Below are 18764 nucleotides of genomic sequence, written 5' to 3'. Positions count from 1 at the left end.
AGATGAGACCCCTGGGTCAGAGTCAGATGACTTCATTCACAGCACAGCAAAAGCAGCATAAGTTTCATGTTCCATCAGTTCCCTTTGCCCTCCAAGCCCCATGTGGGCAGAGTGGCCCAGGTGGGTGCTGAGCACACAGTGGGTTTGCATCATAGGTGGGAGACGTTATCTTTATTATACTGGACAGTAAAAGAACCCGACATCCTCACAAGGGAGACACTCTATCTTCCAAGGCTGTTTACTACATAAATATCCTTGGAAAAGATAGTCAAAAGAAAGATTGTCAGAGCCTCTGCTTCCCTGATGTGCAGAAATGCAAGAGACCCATGGAGAATTGTTTTCCAACACACTTTAGCCAGCTTTTCATGTGAACTATTCCCACTCTTGTTTTAGAGCCCAAGACCACGTTTTATCTTTTAAAAATATACTTTAATCTAACCATGGAATTTCACAAACATTTATATACAATCAGAGACTAATTTGAAGTATGTTTTCCATTCATTTCAGCCATGAGAAAACACATTGCAGTCAAAATTAAAGATATCCATCCATAAATTACTTTTATTTCTCATTAAATGAGCACAGTCATTACTATATTAATAACAGATATGTTTATTATTACATATTCATCAGTGCGGCTTTCAATACCACTTGAAACATGCATATCATCCTAGAGACGATCGGTTTTCCAGTGCTTCTTATCTGATAGACATTACTGCAAAGCCATTATAAATTACTGAGGAGGTATTTGGTTAAAAAAAGAAACAATAAATCATACTGTCCATATGAATCAACTCTTGTTACCGGACAAGAGTTTAACAGTATTTATCTGGTAATTCCTATGTTAACTGGAAAACATCATGGATGTATTGCCATATTTCCTTTTTATATTGGTGCAACCTTCTACATTTTTTGCAGTTTTATAAAGTCATTATTGTAGCAGGTAGTTTGATGCAAAGATTGTACTCAATTTATGAAAGTCCAACAAACCTCTAAATATTTTAAATTAAACCAATTATCAATGAAAAACTCACGGACACACATAATTTTTTGAAAATACATTTTTTGAAATTTCTATACTTACTCATGGCAGTAAAATAATTATCTCAAATTAAGGCACTAAAAGGACAATGCAACCCCCATTGAAAGTGTTCTAAGAATAATTTACATTTCAAACAGTGCATACATTTCTTATATGTTTGTTAACTTAATGTCTTTATCATTTAAAACCACAAAGAAATACATTATACAATTATAGAAATGATGTACCCCACAAAATGCTTTTAAACTTGGTTCTTTTGTACAGTTAGTTTCCTAATGTCTCTAGTAGTAAAATAACTCAATATGGCTTGGCAAAAATGCATAGATTAAATGTAACTTTTTTTCGTCCTCTCCCATTCCCCAAACTTGCTGAAACATATACAGTATTTTGTAAAGCATAATGAAAGATATTTAATTTCTCCATCAAGTCCACCATGGGCAATCAACAGTAAGGCTTTTAAATTCTACAGTGAGGGCACTGAAGTTCAAGTGATATCACTGCTTTCTTAAAATAGTTTTGTATAGTCTTGCAAGAGCACAAAAACTTAAGTCATTAAAAAAAAAACAAAACTTCAGTTTGTCTCATTTTGAGATATTTTCTTTACTCCTTCCATGAGCTGATCTTGATAGTGATGGCCGTTCCACTTGAAAGTGAAAGTCCCTTCCTCTTACTCATATGAGGAAAACTCTGTTCTATCACGACTGACAGCCATTTTCTTATAAATCCAAAAAGGCAGCACCTTTTAAAAAAAATATATCTACCTAAGCTTTCCCCCAACTGTACTTGCATTACATAGTAATAATTAATCTAATCTACCTGTAGGCAAACCCGCGATAAAAAAAACCCTCAGTGTGTTGTGCCAAAGCAAGGACAGAAAAACAGCAATCTTAACCCTGAAGCCTGTGATATTTGTGTCAAAGAAACAGCCTGTCTGCTCTGCATGGTTAAAGAAGCCTGGTTTATCAGGTAGCATCCCACACGATTCCACAAGGCACTCGGTCACATGGTTAACTGTTGAGGGAGGGGGGAAAAACTAATTTAAGAAATGCACTCAGTTTAAAAATACGAGAAACAAACATTAGGAGGAAAGGTAAATATACATTATCTTTACATACAATAATTAACAATTACACAAAATTTGGAAAACAAGGAATAGGAAAAATATACTTAGTATTCTCTCCTCTTTGTTTCTACACATTTTCTTACTCAGCTATAATCCCATTTCAAATCATTTTAGAGCCAGTTTACAACCTATGCTCAGGAGAAGGCTGACATAGCATTCTACAGAATTAAGTTAGCAGTAAGGTGATAATACCTGGCATAGTATGGTGGCTGAGAAAGGAAAGGATATAAGTCATTTCAAAGAATTAGGCCTGGTTACTGACAATAGGGCATGAACAAAAGGGATGAATTCAGGATGGCTTTCAGCCTGCTTGGAAGATGTGGGTGACACTGGCAGCGAGGCAGATCAGTGTTAGGTCTCAGCTTCTCATTCGAGTGGCCCTATTAATCTAGGGAGTACACTCTAGGGAAGGTGGTATGTGGTAGAATAGAGGCTTTGGAATTGGACAACATAGGCTTTAGAATTGGACAGAAATGGTTTCCAATCCATTGGCTGTGTGATTGAGCAAACTGCTTAATTTCTCTGAGCCTTATTTACTAATGTGTAAAATGAGAACTTAATGAGATGAGATTTCATAATTTCTGTCCAAGAAAGAGTTAACTGCCTGGTGCGGTGGCTCACGCCTGTAATCGCAGCACTTTGGGAGGCCCAGGAAGGTGCATCACCTGAGGTCAGGAGTTCAAGACCAGCCTGGCCAACACGTTGAAACTCCATCTCTACTAAAAATACAAAAATTAGCTGGGTGTGGTGGCAGGCGCCTGTAGTCCCAGCTACTCAGGAGGCTGAGGTGGGAGAATAGCTTGAACCTGGGAGGCAGAGGTTGCAGTGAGCTGAGATTGCGCCACTGCACTCTGGCCTGGGTGACAGAGCGAGACTCTGTCTCAAAATGAATGAATGAATGAATGAATGAATGAATGAATGGTTATGCCTTATAATTGTTTATCATGGCATAAAACATATTTTTGGAAAAAAGTCCATCAAAAATAGTTAAACAGCCAGGCATGGTGGCTCACGCCTGTAATCCCAGCACTTTGGGAGGCTGGGGCAGGCAGATCATTTGAGGTCAGGAGTTTGAGACCAGCCTGGCCAACATGATGAAACCCTCTCTCTACTAAAAATACAAAAATTAGCCAGGCGTGGCATGCGTCTGTAATCCCCGCTACTTGGGAGGCTGAGGCTGGAGAATTGCTTGAACTTGGGAGGTGGAGGTTGCAGTGAGCTGAGATAGCGCCACCACTGCACTCCAGCCGGGGTGACAGAGTGAGACTCTGTCTCAAAAAACAAAAAACAAAAAAAAAAGGGGGTCATGAGTTCACATCCTTTGAAGGGACATGGATGAAGCTGGAAACCATCATTCTCAGCAAACTAACACAGGAATAGAAAACCAAACACCACAGGTTCTCACTCGTAAGTGGGAGTTGAACAATGAGAAAACATGGACACAGGGAGGGGAACGTCACACACCAGGGCCTGTCGGGGGGTGGGGGGCTAGGGGAGGGATAGCATTAGGAGAAATACCTAATGTAGATGATGGGTTGATGGGTGCAGCAAACCACCATGGCACGTGTATACCCATGTAACAAACCTGCATGTTCTGCACATGTATCCCAGAACTTAAAGTATAATAATTAAAAAAACATAGTCACTGATAATACCAAATAATTTTGTATGTTGGGATAGTATGGGAAGTTAACAAAAAAGGGAAAAACAATTTTGGTTTTTGTAGAAAAACTATGCCAACACAGTTAAAAAACAGAAAAGATGATGAAAAGTTTTATATGAATTTCTGCATTAAAAAAATTAACAAGTTGGTTAAAGCATTAAGGGCTAAAACTATGCCATGTACAGCAACTTATGACAATAAAATTAGACACAGAACTAAATAAATATAATATTGCATGTATTATTATTATTAAACTCTAACAAGAATAAGTTAAACTAATTTATAAAGTCACTGCAATTCACATACAAATACCTAAAAATGATGCCCTCTGTGGTGAAAAGCACAATTAGATTTCTGATTTTAATAGCTGTTATCCAATCATTTTCACATTGTTAAAAACGTTAGCATTTCAAATCCTTACCTAGTTTTTCCAGATGTATTTTTGACCACTTTCCGGAAAGACTGATTTGCAGTGGATCTTGTAGAAAGCGTTCAAGGGGAAGCACGAACAAAACCAGATGGTGGATTCTTAGGGATTTTCTTTACTAAATGAGTTACCCATTTTTTTTGTTCATCCTGAGAACATGCTAACAGCAGCATATCTCTTGCTGATGTTACATCATAACTTACTATGTTAAGGAGGAAAAAAAAAGCATAATTAAAGCCATATAGTTTTTTAAAATCCAACCTATCAAATGCATAGTTTTTCAAGTTCTTAAGGTTTTAAAAGTTTTAATATGCTTAATTAAGCATGAACAATATCTCATTCTCCTTAAGTTAAATAAGGCTGAAATTAAAAAAAAAATTAGTCAAACTAATAAAGTAAAATCAGAAATATAAAAAAATGTAAAACAAATAAATGTATTTAAAGAACATAAGCTTCTTATCTGAAAATAGCTATGGTCTGTATTCTTTCCCTCAAGCTACCTCTGTAAAACTAGAAGATATTCTGTGATACAGCATGCATGCTGATCCAGGCAGTGAATGCCAGACAAAAAGAAGAGGAAAAACTCAAGGGAGGAATAGAGTGGAACTCACCTGTTGCTCTTCTCTCCAACTTGGAATAATTTCTTAGCAGCATGTTTGTTTGTTTTTGTTTGTTTACAAGGGGGTGATTCTCTTTAAAAACACTGTTGGCCGGGCGTGCAATGGCTCACACCTGTAATCCCAGCACTTTGGGAGGCCGAGGTGGGTGGATCACCTGATGTCAGGAGTTCGAAACCAGCCTGGACAACATGGTGAAACTCCATCTCTACTAAAAATACAAAATTAGCCGGGTGTGGTGGCACACGCCTATAGTCCCAGCTACTCAGGAGGCTGAGATAGGAGAATCACTTGAACCTGGGAGGCAGAGGCTGCAGTGAGCTGAGATCACGCCACTGCACTCCAGCCTGGGCGAGACAGAGTGAGAATCCATCTCAATCAATCAATCAATAAAAATAAATAAAAACATTTTTAAAAGCTAAATCTGTAAATAGCTGCATATTGCCCCACCAGTGTCAAAATAATACTTTTTATAATCTCTTTTCAACTTGGTATAGAAATCACTACACATAAGTTAGTTCATTGAGACTTAAAACTAAATTTGTTATAAGTTGTAACAATAATTACCATGCCTTACCTTTACATGGACAAATTAAGTCCTCTTTCTTATCTAAGTGATCTCTGTGGCACTTAACATGGCGTCTTTGACACTCTAGGGCAGGGGGTGGCTTAAAAACATGCCAGAGAGGTTTGGCACAGGCATCACAATTGGCAGGAAAGTGGTAGAGTGTAGGAATAAACTCATGGCCTTTGTGATTTTGGAAATTAGTTTTTTCAGCTTCTTGTACTGGTTCCATCTCTACATCTTTTCTACATTCACCTTCATTTGCATATAGTATCTACATTCAGGAATGGTGAAAGGAAAAGATTTTAAAAATCTTAAGCATTGGTATATTTTACATTTACTTCACAAAAACGCTTAGGACTTAGATTCTTTAAAATTATAACTTCAGATTTTTACCTGGAATATTTTAGGAATTTCTTCAGTTTCAGCTCTATACACATCTCCTTGGGTTACAGGTCTAACGTGAAACAGTTTACTAAAATGAAAATAAATATAGGCCATTTACAAAAACTCATTTATTGTAAAAGACATTTCACTAAAGAGGACATATGGGTGATAAATAAGCACACAAAAAGATATTCAACATCATCAGTCATTAGAGAAATGCAAATTAAAACCACAATGAGTGTCACTACACATCTATCAGAGTTAAAAAAATAAAAACAGTAGTAACATCAAATGCTTGTGAGAATGCAGAGAAAGTAAATCACTCATATACTGCTGATGGAAACATAAAATTACAGAGCCACTCTGGAAAAAGAATATGGCAATTTCTTAGAAAACTAAACATATGCTTACCATATAACCCAGCAAATTGCACTGTTGGGCCTTTAATTTCAAGAAACAAAAATTCATATAACATTTTATATCTATTTAAAAAAACCTGCACATAGATGTTCATAGGAGCTTTATTCATAATAACCAAAACCTAGAAACAACCCAAATAAATGGGTAAGCAAACTGTGATACATCTATACTATGGAATACTACTCAACAAGAAAAAAACAAATTATACTTGGATTGATCTTAAGGGAATTATACTGAATGGGAAAAAAAGCTGATCAGAAAAGATTACACATTATTTGATTCCATTCATATAACACTCTTGAAGAGACAAAATTATGGAGATGGAGAACAGATTAATGTTGCTATGGATTAGGGAGAGGTGGAGGAAGGAAGCTGCCTTTTGACTACAAAAGGAGTAGCACAGGGATGCTTGTGATGGAATTGTTCTGTATTTTGAGTGTGGTGGTGGGCATACAAATCTATACACGTGAGAAAGGCATACAGATCGGAAAGAAAGGAGTAAAACTCTTTATTTGGCGATGACATGATTGTATGCAGTTGTCTCGTGGTATCTGTGGCAGATTGGTCCCAGGACCCCGGAGGATTTTGAAGAGAGAGAGTGAAAGAGAAAGAGAGAGAATGAGAGGGAAGGAGGGAAGAGACAGGAAAAAAAGAAAAGATAAGAAATGGTGTAGTATTTGTATATAACCTAAGTACACCTTCCTGTATATTTAAAATTGTCTCTAGATAATATCTAATACAATGTAAATGCTATGGAAATTGTTATTATATTATATTGTTTAGAGAATAATGACAAGAAAACAAATCTGTACATATTAAGTACAGACACAACCACAATAGGCCTAACTACATTTTCAATCCATGGTTGGATGAATATACAGATGCAGAACCCATGGATACAGAGGGCTGACTGTGTGTAGAAAAGCTCTGTGGAACTGATCCCAAAACCCCACAACCCTATAAAACTGTTAAGTGCAAAGCAAGATTAAATGATTCAAGGTCAACATATAAAAACAAATACTGTTGGAACAACCAGATACCTATGTGGGGGGAAAAAAGCCAACCTGACCTAAACAACTACCTCTTACCAAACACAGACCACAAAAGGCAGAAAACATTTTAAAAATTGGTACACTGATCCTCATTAAAAGACACCATTAACAAAATCAACAGGTAAGCAACAGATTGGGAAATATTTGCATTACATATTTCTAACATAGGATTCTTATTCAGAATATATCTAGAACTCTTAAAAACCAATCTTAAAAACATAAGCAACCCAATTTAAAAATGGGCAAAAGACTTGAAAAAAGAAAAGATATACAATGGCTAATAACGACATGAAAGATTCTTGGTATTATTAGTTATGAGGAGAATGCAAATTAAAATAACAATGAAATAGCATTTAACATCCACTAGAAAAGCTAAAATCAAAGGTTGATATCACCAAATGTTGGTGAGGATGTGGAGCAACTGAAACTCATACTGTTGGTGAATATAAAATAGTGTGACATAATAATTTTTGAGAATTGTTTGGTAGATTTTTAAAAAGTTAAACACAGATCTACTTTATAACCCAGGATTCCAATCCTGGGTATTTACCCATGAGAAATGAAAACATAAGTTAAAAAAAGGAATGCTCATAAGCCTTATTTACGATAGCCCCAAATTGGAAGCAACCCAAATGTCAATCAACACAAAAATGGATAAACAAATTCATGCAATGTTATACTATTCAGCAATACAAAGAACAATCAATACATACACCACCACAGGTGCAGGCTGAGTGAAAGATGCTAGGCACAAAAGTGTACATTACTGTTTAATTCCATTTATATAAAGTTCTAGAACAGGCAAAACTAATCTTGGCAATAGAAATCAGATCATGGGAAGAGGTACAAGTGAGCTTTCCTTTTTCTTTTTTTTTTTTTTTTTGAGATGGAGTCTCGCTCTGTCACCCGGGCTGCAGTGCAGTGGTGCAATCTTGGCTCACCGCAACCTCAGCCTCCTGGGTTCAAGCGATTCTCCTGCCTCAGCCTCCCGAGTAGCTGGGATTACAGGCACCTGCCACCACGCCCAGCTAATTTTTTGTATTTTTAGTAGAGACAGGGTTTCACCATGTTGGCCAGACTGGTCTCGAATGAACTCCTGACCTCGTGATCCTCCCACCTCAGCCTTCCAAAGTGCTGGGATTACAGGTGTGAGCCACCACAACTGGCCCAAGTGAGCTCTCTTCATAAATTTAAAAAAAAAAAAAATTCTTTTTTCAGAGACAGGGTCTCGCTATGTTGCCCAGGCTGGTCTCAAATTGAACTCAGGCCAACCGCCCACCTTGGTCTCCCAAAGTGCTGGGATTAGAGGCATAACCACTGTGCCCAGCCACAAGTGAGTTTTCTAAAGAAATACGATTTTTTAAAATCTTGTCTTGAGTGATTATATGAGTGTTTACAACTGTAAAAAGTTACTGAAGAGAACACTTAAGATCTATGAACTTTATTGTGGGAAATTATACCTTAATAAAGAGAGGAAAGAAATCTCTCATCAATCTAAAAAGTATTTAACTTAGTTGAAAGATAGTATCTTTCATACTAGTGTTTATGTATTATTTCACTTAAGCTGATAATTTAAATTTTGACAACTAAAGCTGTTTATTAAAAAAATAGAAAATAAAGTAAGAGTATTCTCTAGAACTTGCTTAATTCTTTTTACATTCTAACTATAACCAGCTCCACAAATACTTAATTTCAAAGGGATGATAATACTTTATTTTATATATATATTTCTTTTAAAAAGCAGTTACCAGACTTGACTTTGAATATATATTTTGTTGAATATGTTCTGCCTTTTCTCCTACTAGTCGGTAAGGTCCTTAATGATGGAATTTACTCATCTTTATACATACTACATAATCTATGATAATATAAGCAGCAATACTTAAGAAAAGATTTTAGAATGAATATAAGAAAAAATACCATATTATAGGCCTCTTTGACCTATCATTACAAAAGAACAGATATATTTATATTTCCCCTTAATAATGACCAAAGAATCCTACACAGTTGTTCTTTTATATCCACAGGGAATTGATTCCAGGAACTCCAAAAATATCAAAGTCCAAGTATGCTCAAGGCTCTTATATAAAATGGTGTGGTATTTGCATATAACCTAGGCACATCCTCCTGTATGCTTTAAAATCATGTCTGTATTACTCATAAGACATAATACAGTATAAATGCGATGTAAACAGTTGTTATACTGTATTTTTTAAAGAAATTTCTATTAATAGTTATAAAATATATATATATAATATTTTATATATATATATATATATTTTTTTTTTTTTTGAGACAGAGTTTCGCTCTTGTGGCCCAGGCCGGAGTGCAGTGGCGCAATCTCGGCTCACTGCAACCTCTGCCTCCCAGGTTCAAGTGATTCTCCTGCCTCAGCCTTCTGAGTAGCTGGGACTACAGGCGCCTGCCACCACGCCCAGCTAATTTTTGGATTTTTAGTAGAGACGGGGTTTCACCATGTTGGCCAGGCTGGTCTTGAATTCCTGACCTCAGGTGATCCACCTGCTTCGACCTCCCAAAGTGCTGGGGTTACAGGTGTGAGTCACCGCACCCGGCCCTCTTTCAAATATTTTCTATCCACAGTTGTGGATATGGAACCCACTGATACACAGCTGACTATACTTTTTGAAATGCTCTCTGAACTCAAACTACTAAACACTTGAACTAAAAAAGTTGTCTTCCAAATACATGAAATAAGTATATACATTTTTCCTTCTCACATTTTGCTGAAGATTTAATATAATGTCAACATTTATGCTTAAGAAAAACAGAAAAGTAGGTAACAGTGCTGAAGTAACACAAAATATAAAATAAATTTTAAGTCTAAAAATAATTATCAAAAGTTAGCTCTCAACCCCTTTAAAATTCAATCAAAGGCAACTTACTCTGTGTCTAACCCTTTCCCAGAAACGGAGGCCCCGGGGGAGCTGGAGGCCTCGGAAGAGGCCGCCTCGCTGGAAGCACCCCTCAGCGAGGAAGAATACCGGGCTCTGCTGGAGGAGCTTTAGGACGCGGGGTTGGGACGGGGTCGGGTGGTTCGGGGCAGGGCGGTGGCCTCTCTTTCGCGGGGAACACCTGGCTGGCTACGGAGGGGCGTGTCTCCGCCCCGCCCCCTCCACCGGGCTGACCGGCCTGGGATTCCTGCCTTCTAGGTCTAGGCCCGGTGAGAGACTCCACACAGCGGAGAACTGCCATTCTTTCCTGGGCATCCCGGGGATCCCAGAGCCGGCCCAGGTACCAGCAGGTGGGCCGCCTACTGCGCACGCGCGGGTTTGCGGGCAGCCGCCTGGGCTGTGGGAGCAGCCGGGACAGAGCTCTCCCGCCTCTCCACCGCCCCACCCCGCCGCCTGACCGCCCCCTCCCCACCCCCACCCCCCGCCCCCGGAAAACGCGTCGTCCCCTGGGCCCCTCCCCACCCCCACCCCCCACCCCCGGAGAACGCGTCGTCCCCTGCGCTGGGTGGAGACCCCCGTCCCGCGAAACGCCGGGCCCGCGCAGCGTCCAGGCCTGACACCCTCCGGCGGCTCGCCTCCTCTGCGCCTGCGCGCCACCGTCGCCCGCCCGCCCGGGCCCCTGCGGCCTCCCGGCTGCCAGCACGGAGCGCCTGGCGGTCGAAGGCACACCTCTGGCTGTCTTTGCCGGCCTCCTGGCTAGACCTGCGCGCAGTGCGCACCCCGGCTGACGTGCAAGGGAGCTCGCTGGCCTCTCTGTGCCCTTGTTTGTCCGTGAAATTCTGGCTGAGTCTCTCCCCCCACCTTCCGACGCTGTCTAGGCAAAGCCTGGAGTAGAGTTGCATCTCCTGGATGATCAGTTCAGAGATATGTCACAATGCCCCCTCCCTGTGGATCCTAGAGAAGATTTGCACCATTTGGGTGATCAGTGCAGAGATATGTCACAATGTCCCCTGTAGAAAAAGCCTGGAAATGATTTACATCACCTCGGTGATCAGTGCAGATGTGTGTCAGATCTCCCTAGTAGGCTGAACCTAGACAAGGGTTACATCACTTAGGTGATCAGTGTAGAGGTATGTGAAAATTCCCGTGTAGACAGAGCCTAGACAATTGTTACATCACCTAGTGATCAGTGCAGGGATAAGTCATAAAGCCTCCTGTAGGCAGAGTGTAGACAAGTGTTCCCTCCCTGGGCTGATCAGTGCAGAGATATCTCACAAAGCCGCTTTAAGCAGAACCTTGACAAGGGTTACATCACCTGTTTGATCAGTGGAAATATATATCACAAAGCCCCCTGTAAGCAAAGCCCAGACAATTTTTACATCTCCTGAGTGAGCATTGGAGAGATCTGTCACAATGCCCCTGTAGGCAGAGCTTGGACAAGTGTTACATCACCTGGGTGATCAGTGCAGAGATATGTCAAAACGCTCCTGTAGGCTGAACCTAGACAGGAGTTACATCACCTGGGGGATCAGTGCAGAGATATGTGAGAATTCCCTTGTAGGCAGAGCCTAGACAAGTGTTACATCACCTAGGTTATCAGTGCAGAGATATGTGAGAATTCCCGTGTAGGCAGAGCCTAGACAAGTGTTACATCACCTAGGTTATCAGTGTAAGTATTAGTCATAAAGCCTCCTGTAGGCAGAGCGTAGACAAGAGTTCCCTCCCCAGGGTGATCAGTGCAGAGATGTGTCACAAAGCCCCTGTAGGCAGAGCGTAGACAAGAGTTCCCTCCCCAGGGTGATCAGTGCAGAGATGTGTCACAAAGCCCCTGTAGGCAGAGCCTAGACAAGAGTTTCATCACTTGGTTGATCAGTTCAGAGATGTGTCACAATGTCCATGTAGGCAGATCTAAGACAAGGGTCCATCACCTGGGTGATCAGTGCAGAGATATGTACCAATGTGCCCTGTAGGCAGTGCCTAGACAAGAGTTGAATCACCTCAGAGATCAGTGCATAGATATGTCACAAAGCCTTCTGTAGGCAAAGCCCATACAAGGTTTACATCACCTAGGTGATCAGTGCAGTGATATGTCACAAAAATCCCTGTAGACAGAGCCTAGACAAGAGTTACATCACCTGGGTGATCAGTGCAGATATTTGACACAATGCCCCCATAGACAGAGCCTAGACAAGACTTCCATCACCTGGGTGATCAGTGCAGAGATATGTCACAAATCCCCCTCTAGGCAGAGTATAGAGAAGAGTCCCATCACCTGGGTGATCAGTGCAGAGATATTTCACAATGCCCCCTGTAGGCAGAGAGTGGACAAAAGTTACATAACCTAGATGATCTGTGCAGAGCTATGTCAAAACGCCCCTGTAGGCAGAGCCTAGATGAGTGTTACATCACCTGGGTGATCACTGCAGAGATACGTCACAATACCCCCTGTAGGTGGGGCCTAGACAAGAGTTACATCACCTGGGTGATCAGTGGAGATATCTGTCACAATTCGCCTTTAGGCGCAGCTTAGACAAGCGTTACATCACATGAGTGATCAGTGCAGAGATATGTCACTATGCCCCCATAGGCAGATCCAAGACAAGAGTCCATCACCTGGGTGATCAGTGCAGAAATATGCCACAATGCCACCAGTAGACAGATATAGACAAGAGTTACATCACCTGCGTGATCACTGCAGAGATATGTCACAATGCCCCTGTAGGCAGAGCCTAGACAAGAGTCCCATCACCTGGGTGATCAGTGCAGAGTTATGTCACAATGCCCCCTTTTGGCAGAGCCTAGACAAGGGTTACATCACCTGGGTGATCAGTGCAGAGATATGTCACAATGTCCCTGTAGCCATATCCTTGACAAAAGTGACATCACCTGGGTGATCAGTGCGGAGATATGTCACAATGTCTCCAGTAGGCAGAGCCTAAACAAGAGTTACATCACCTCTGTGATCAGTGCAGAGATACGTCACAATGCCCCTGTAGGCAGAGCCTAGACAAGAGTTACATAACCCAGGTGATCCGTGCAGAGTGATGTCACAACGCCCTCTGTAGGCAGAGACTAGAAAAGAGTTACATTACCTGGGTGATCTGTGCAGAGATATGTCACAATGTACCCTGTAGGCAGAGCACAGAGAAGAGTTGCATCACCTGGGTGATCAGTGCAGAGATATGTCACAATGTCCCCTGTAGGCAAAGCCTAGGCAAGAGTTACATCACCTTTGTCATCAGTTCAGGGATATGTGAAAACGCCCCTGCAGGCAGAGCTTAGACAAGAGTTACATCACCTAGTTGATCAGTGCAGAGATATTTCACAATACCTCCTGTAGGCAGATCCTAGTCAAGAGTTGCATCACCTGGGTGATCAGTGCAGAGATATTTCACAACGCCCCCTGTAGGCAGAGGGTAGACAAGAGTTACATCACCTAGGTGATCAGTGCAGAGATTTGTCGAAATTCCCTGTAGGCAGTGCTTATAAAAGTGTTACATCACCTAAGTGATCAGTGCAGAGATATGTCACAAAGCTCCTGTAGGCAGAGCTTAGATGAGTTACATCACCTGGGTGATCAGAGCAAAGGTATGTCACAAAGCCCCCTGTAGGCCAAAGCCTAGACAATAGTTACATCACTTGGGTGATCAGTGGCGAGATCTCTCACAATTCCCCTGTAGGCAGAGCTTATACAACAGTTACATCACCTGGGTGATCAGTGCAGATATATGTCACAATGCCCCCATAGGCAGATCCAAGACAAGAGTCCGTCTCCTGGGTGATCAGTGCAGAAATACGTCACAATGCCCCCTTAGGCAGAGCCTAGACAAAAGCCCCATCACCTGGATGATTAGTGCAGAGTTATGTCACAAAGTCCCTTTAGGCAGATCCTAGACAAGAGTCCCATTACTTGGGTGATCAGTGCAGAGATATGTCACAATGCCACTGTAGGCAGAGCCTAGACAAGAGTTACATGACCTAGGTGATCAGTGCAGAGATACATCGCAATGCCCCTGTAGGCAGAGCCTTGACAAGTGGTACATCACCTGGGTGATCATTGCAGGGATATGTCACAAAGCACCCTGTAGGCAGATCCTAGAGAAGAGTTATATCACCTGGGTGATCAGTGCAGAGATATGTCACAAGCCCCCTGTAGGCAGAGCCTAGACAAGAGTTATATCACCTGGGTGATCAGTGCAGTCATATGTCACAATGCTGTGTAGCCAGAGCCTAGACAAAAGTTACAGCACCTGGGAGATCAGTGCAGAGATATGTCACAATGTCCCCAGTAGGCAGAGACCAGGCAAGAGTTGGATCACCTCGGGATCAGTGCAGAGATATGTCTCAATCCCCCTGTGGGCACAGCCTAGACAAGAGTTACATCACCTCGGTTAACAGTGCAGAGATATGTCAAAATGCCCCTGTAGGCAGAGCCTACACAAGTATTACATCACTTAGGTGATCAGTGCAGAGATATGTCACAATACCCCCTGTAAGCAGAGCCTAGACAAGAGTTACATCACCTGGGTGATCAGTGCAGACATATGTGACAAGGCCCCTTTAAGCAGAGCCTAGACAATAGTTACATCACCTGAGTGATCAGTGCAGAGATCTGTCACAATGCCCCTTTAGGCAGAGCTTAGACCAGAGTTACATCACCTGGGTGATCAGTGCAGAGGTATGTCACATTGCCCCCATAGGCAAATCCAAGACAAGAGTCAGTCACCTGGGTGATCACTGCAGAAATATGTGACAATGCCCCCAGTAGGCAGAACCTAGAGAAGAGTCCCTTCACCTGGGTGATCAGTGCAGAGTTATGCCACAATGCCCCCTGTAGGCAGAGCCTAGACAAGAGTTACATCATCTGGTTGATCAGTAAAGAGATATTTCTCAATGCCCCTGCAGGCAGAGCGTAAGCAAGAGTTACATCACCTAGATGATCAGTGCAGAGATACGTCACAAGGCCCCCTATAGGCAGAGCCTGGACAAGAGTTACATCACCTCGGTGATCAATGCAGTGATATGTCACTGTGCCCCGTAGGCAGAGCCTAGTCAAGCGTTACATCACCTGGGTGATCAGTGCAGAGATATGTCAGAAAGCCCCCATACACAGAGCCTAGACAAGAGTCCCATCACCTGGGTGATCAGTGCAGAAATATGTCACAATGCCCCTATAGGCAGATCCAACACAAGTGTTACATCACCTGGGTGATCAGTGCAGAAATATGTCTCAATGCCCCCATAGGCAGATCCAACACAAGAGTTACATCACCTGGGTGATCAGTGTAGAGATATGTCACAATGCCCCCGTAGACAGAGCCTAGACAAAAGTCCCATCACCTGGGTGATCAGTGCAGAGATATGTCACAAAGCCCCTGTAGGCAGAGCCTAGACAAGAGTTACATCACTTTGTTGATCAGTTCAGAGATGTGTCACAATGCCCATGTAGGCAGAGCCTAGACAAGTGTTCCATCACCTGGGTGATCAGTGCAGAGATATGTGACAAGGCCCCTTTAAGCAGAGCCTAGACAATAGTTACATCACCTGAGTGATCAATGCAGTGATATGTCACTATGCCCCAGTAGGCAGAGCCTAGTCAAGCGTTACATCACCTGAGTGATCAGTGCAGAGATATGTCACAAAGCCCCCATACACAGAGCCTAGACAACAGTCCCATCCCCTGGGTGATCAGTGCAGAAATATGTCACAATGCCCCCATAGGCAGATCCAACACAAGAGTTACATCACCTGGGTGATCAGTGTAGAGATATGTCACAATGCCCCCATAGGCAGAGCGTAGACAAAAGTCCCATCACCAGGGTGATCAGTGCAGAGATATGTCACAAAGCCCCCATAGGCAGAGCCTAGACAAGAGTTACATCACTTGGTTGATCAGTTCAGAGATGTGTCACAATGCCCATGTAGGCAGAGCCTACACAAGTGTTACATCACTTAGGTGATCAGTGCAGAGCTATGTCACAATACCCCCGTAAGCAGAGCCTAGACAAGAGTTACATCACCTGGTTGATCAGTGCAGAGATATCTCACAATGTCCCTGCAGGCAGAGTGTAGACAAGAGTTACATCACCTAGATGATCAGTGCAGAGATATTTCACAATGCCCCCTGTAGGCAGAGCCTAGACAAGAATTATATTACCTGGATGATCAGTACGGTGATATGTCACTATGCCCCCTGTGGGCGGAGCCTAGACAAGAGTTACATCACCTGGGTGATAAGGGCAGAGATATGTCACAATGCTCCAGTAGGCAGAGCCTAGACAAGAGTCCTATCACCTGGGTGATCAGTGCAGAAATATGTCACAATGCCCCCAGTAGACAGAGCCTAGACAAGAGTTACATCACCTGGGTGATCAGTGCAGAAATATGTTGCAATGCCCCCATAGGCAGATCCAACACAAGAGTTACATCACCTGGGTGATCAGTGCAGAGATATGTAACAATGCCCCCAGTAGGCAGAGCCTAGAGGAGAGTTACATCATCTGGGTGATCTTTGCAGAGATATGTCACAATCCTCCAAGTAAGCAGAGCCTAGACAAAAGTTACATCATCTGGGCGATCAGTGCAGAGACAAGTCACAAAACCCACATAGGAAAAGACTAGACAAGAGTTACATCATCTGGGTCATCAGTGCAGACATATGTCAAAGCTGCCGTAGGCAGAGTGTAGACAAGTATTACATCACTTGGGTGATCAGTGCAGAGATCTATCACAGTGCCCCCATAGGCAGAGCCTAGACAAGAGTTCCATCACCTGTGTGATCAGTGTAGAGATATGTCACAATGCCTCCTGTAGGCAGAGGCTAGACAAGAGTTACATCACCTGGATTTTGTTTCCTGCAATATGTCACAATGGCGAGGGTGAGGGTTAGGGTTAGGGTGAGGGTCAGGGTGAGGGTCAGGGTGAGGGTCAGGGTGAGGGTGAGGGTCAGGGTGAGGGTGAGGGTTAGGGTTAGGGTGAGCATTAGGTTTAGGGTTAGGGTTAGGGTTAGGGGTTAGGCTTAGGCTTAGGGTAAGGCTTAGGGTTCAGGTTCAAGTTTGGATTCGGGTTCGGGTTCAGGTTAAGAGTTAGGGTTAGGGTTACGGGTTAGGGTTAGGGGTTAGGGTTAGGTGTTAGGGCTGGGTTAGGTTTAGGGTTAGGGTTATGGGTTACGGTTAGGGTTAGGGTTTAGGGTTAGGGTTAGGGTTAGGATTGGGGTTAGGTTTAGGGTTAGGGTTAGGGTTAGGTTTAGGGTTGGGTTAGGGTTAGGATTGGGGTTAGGATTAGGGTTAGGGTTAGGGTTAGGTTTAGGGTTAGGGTTAGGGTTAGGATTGGGGTTAGGTTTAGGGTTAGGGTAGTGTAAATAATTTCACATTATTACTAATAATTATTATTTATATTACACTATTACTTAATGTAAAGGCTATTAAGACATGTTTGTCTTCAAAGAATGGCCTTGGTTTCTGTGGACAGTTTCTCCTCATGGAAAGGTAGTGTGTTCCTGCTAAATCATGGACAAAACGGGTCCCCAGGAGCTACAGGCTGCAGAAGCAGCTTCTCCTCTATGTTCTTCACTGCCTCATACTGTTGTTGACCTTGAAACCTTCTTTTGGTCTAGTTTTATCAACAGAGCTAGTATTTACATGAGGTTCTACTACATACCAGGTTCCAGAAAGCTAAATGCTTTTTGTTTGTTATTATTCACTAAATACAAATCACAACTCTCTTCTCATTACACACACAACAAAATTTAGCTGAGGGAGATTGAGTGACTTTCCCAGGGTCACACAGCTACTAAGAGCAGAGTAGTGTTTAGATTCATGTGGGAATACTGAACACAGAAATGAACCAATGGAAACATCCTACGTTCCAAAAGCCTACTCAAGCCATTTGTTCTTATTTTAAGGAAAATCTTTATGCTAATTTTAAACTCCAAATACTTATGAATCGCAGAGATCTACAGATTTGATTCTGATGTAAGAAATGATGCTCACCAGCTGGTTACTGCTACCACCCCACAACCCCGAGCATACTGGACAAATGTCTAAGCCTCGTGGTTAGTGGGGACATTGCTTCTGGAGTCTGAAATTGTCATGTAGTGACTCACTCAAGCTTAGGCAGATTTGGTGATATATGACACAGAGATGCAAAGAAATGTTGTAGCTGACACACACAGGCTGGCTCTGGGAGATGCAGAAGGAGCACGTCCCCCAAAATGAAGCCAGACAGACATCCTTAAGGAAGGAGCAAAGGGGCTTCATCTTAAAGAATGAAGAAGGGATTTGTCATGAGAGATGGGGCAGGAAGTTCTTGAGAGGCAGAGGGAGAGCATGAGAATGTTAGGAAGGCAGGAGAGACTCTCACACATCTGGGAAGCTGACAATCCATCAGCATGTCCAGGAGGAAAATAAGGAGGAGGAGCAGAAATAGATGAGGCTGGATATAGAAGCAGGGCTGAAGCTGTGTTGATTGTGGTAAAGAGTTGTGATTCTATCCAGAAGGCAATAGGTAGCATTCTAAACAGAGATCCTTTTTTTTTTTTTTTTTTTTTGAGATGGA

The 18764-nt window shown here is 42.4% G+C and overlaps 1 non-coding gene and 1 pseudogene across 4 annotated transcripts, besides 7 other annotated features; one reads left to right on the top strand and one right to left on the bottom strand.

Annotated features, from left to right (window-relative positions):
* Positions 1-413: 413 nt before the first annotated feature.
* ROCK1P1 (Rho associated coiled-coil containing protein kinase 1 pseudogene 1) lies at positions 414-13689 on the bottom strand (annotated as a pseudogene). Of its 3 annotated transcripts, none has more exons than NR_160778.1 (5): positions 10938-11141; positions 5834-5912; positions 5450-5711; positions 4250-4457; positions 414-2053 (listed from the first exon to the last, which is right to left on the bottom strand). The product of NR_160778.1 is annotated as a Rho associated coiled-coil containing protein kinase 1 pseudogene 1, transcript variant 2 (transcript). The 3 variants fall into 3 exon arrangements; NR_160777.1 differs by lacking the exon at positions 10938-11141 and adding an exon at positions 10200-10656; NR_033770.1 differs by lacking the exon at positions 10938-11141 and adding an exon at positions 13301-13689 and having other exon boundaries at positions 535-2053.
* On the top strand, positions 10415-10498 carry MIR8078 (microRNA 8078). Its single transcript, NR_107045.1, has one exon. It is a non-coding gene; the product is annotated as a microRNA 8078 (primary transcript).
* Positions 10734-10983: a silencer, noted in NCBI's record as "silent region_9235". NCBI's record gives its function as "represses an Ori minimal core promoter by ATAC-STARR-seq in GM12878 lymphoblastoid cells {active_cell/tissue: GM12878}" and the evidence as "EXISTENCE:reporter gene assay evidence [ECO:0000049][PMID:35858748]".
* Positions 11709-12496: an enhancer, noted in NCBI's record as "OCT4-NANOG-H3K27ac hESC enhancer chr18:110258-111045 (GRCh37/hg19 assembly coordinates)". NCBI's record gives its function as "activates a minimal SCP1, AML or CMV promoter by ChIP-STARR-seq in naive and primed H9 embryonic stem cells {active_cell/tissue: H9 hESC(naive and primed)}" and the evidence as "EXISTENCE:reporter gene assay evidence [ECO:0000049][PMID:30033119]".
* Positions 12497-13285: an enhancer, noted in NCBI's record as "OCT4-NANOG-H3K27ac hESC enhancer chr18:109469-110257 (GRCh37/hg19 assembly coordinates)". NCBI's record gives its function as "activates a minimal SCP1, AML or CMV promoter by ChIP-STARR-seq in naive and primed H9 embryonic stem cells {active_cell/tissue: H9 hESC(naive and primed)}" and the evidence as "EXISTENCE:reporter gene assay evidence [ECO:0000049][PMID:30033119]".
* Positions 13286-14073: an enhancer, noted in NCBI's record as "OCT4-NANOG-H3K27ac hESC enhancer chr18:108681-109468 (GRCh37/hg19 assembly coordinates)". NCBI's record gives its function as "activates a minimal SCP1, AML or CMV promoter by ChIP-STARR-seq in primed H9 embryonic stem cells {active_cell/tissue: H9 hESC(primed)}" and the evidence as "EXISTENCE:reporter gene assay evidence [ECO:0000049][PMID:30033119]".
* Positions 13293-13342: a silencer, noted in NCBI's record as "silent region_9234". NCBI's record gives its function as "represses an Ori minimal core promoter by ATAC-STARR-seq in GM12878 lymphoblastoid cells {active_cell/tissue: GM12878}" and the evidence as "EXISTENCE:reporter gene assay evidence [ECO:0000049][PMID:35858748]".
* Positions 14074-14863: an enhancer, noted in NCBI's record as "OCT4-NANOG-H3K27ac hESC enhancer chr18:107891-108680 (GRCh37/hg19 assembly coordinates)". NCBI's record gives its function as "activates a minimal SCP1, AML or CMV promoter by ChIP-STARR-seq in naive and primed H9 embryonic stem cells {active_cell/tissue: H9 hESC(naive and primed)}" and the evidence as "EXISTENCE:reporter gene assay evidence [ECO:0000049][PMID:30033119]".
* Positions 15156-15839: an enhancer, noted in NCBI's record as "OCT4-NANOG hESC enhancer chr18:106915-107598 (GRCh37/hg19 assembly coordinates)". NCBI's record gives its function as "activates a minimal SCP1, AML or CMV promoter by ChIP-STARR-seq in naive and primed H9 embryonic stem cells {active_cell/tissue: H9 hESC(naive and primed)}" and the evidence as "EXISTENCE:reporter gene assay evidence [ECO:0000049][PMID:30033119]".

This window comes from Homo sapiens, chromosome 18, assembly GCF_000001405.40.
Source record: "Homo sapiens chromosome 18, GRCh38.p14 Primary Assembly".
Classification (NCBI taxonomy): Eukaryota; Metazoa; Chordata; class Mammalia; order Primates; family Hominidae; genus Homo; species Homo sapiens.
This window is presented reverse-complemented; position numbering and strand designations above follow the sequence as displayed.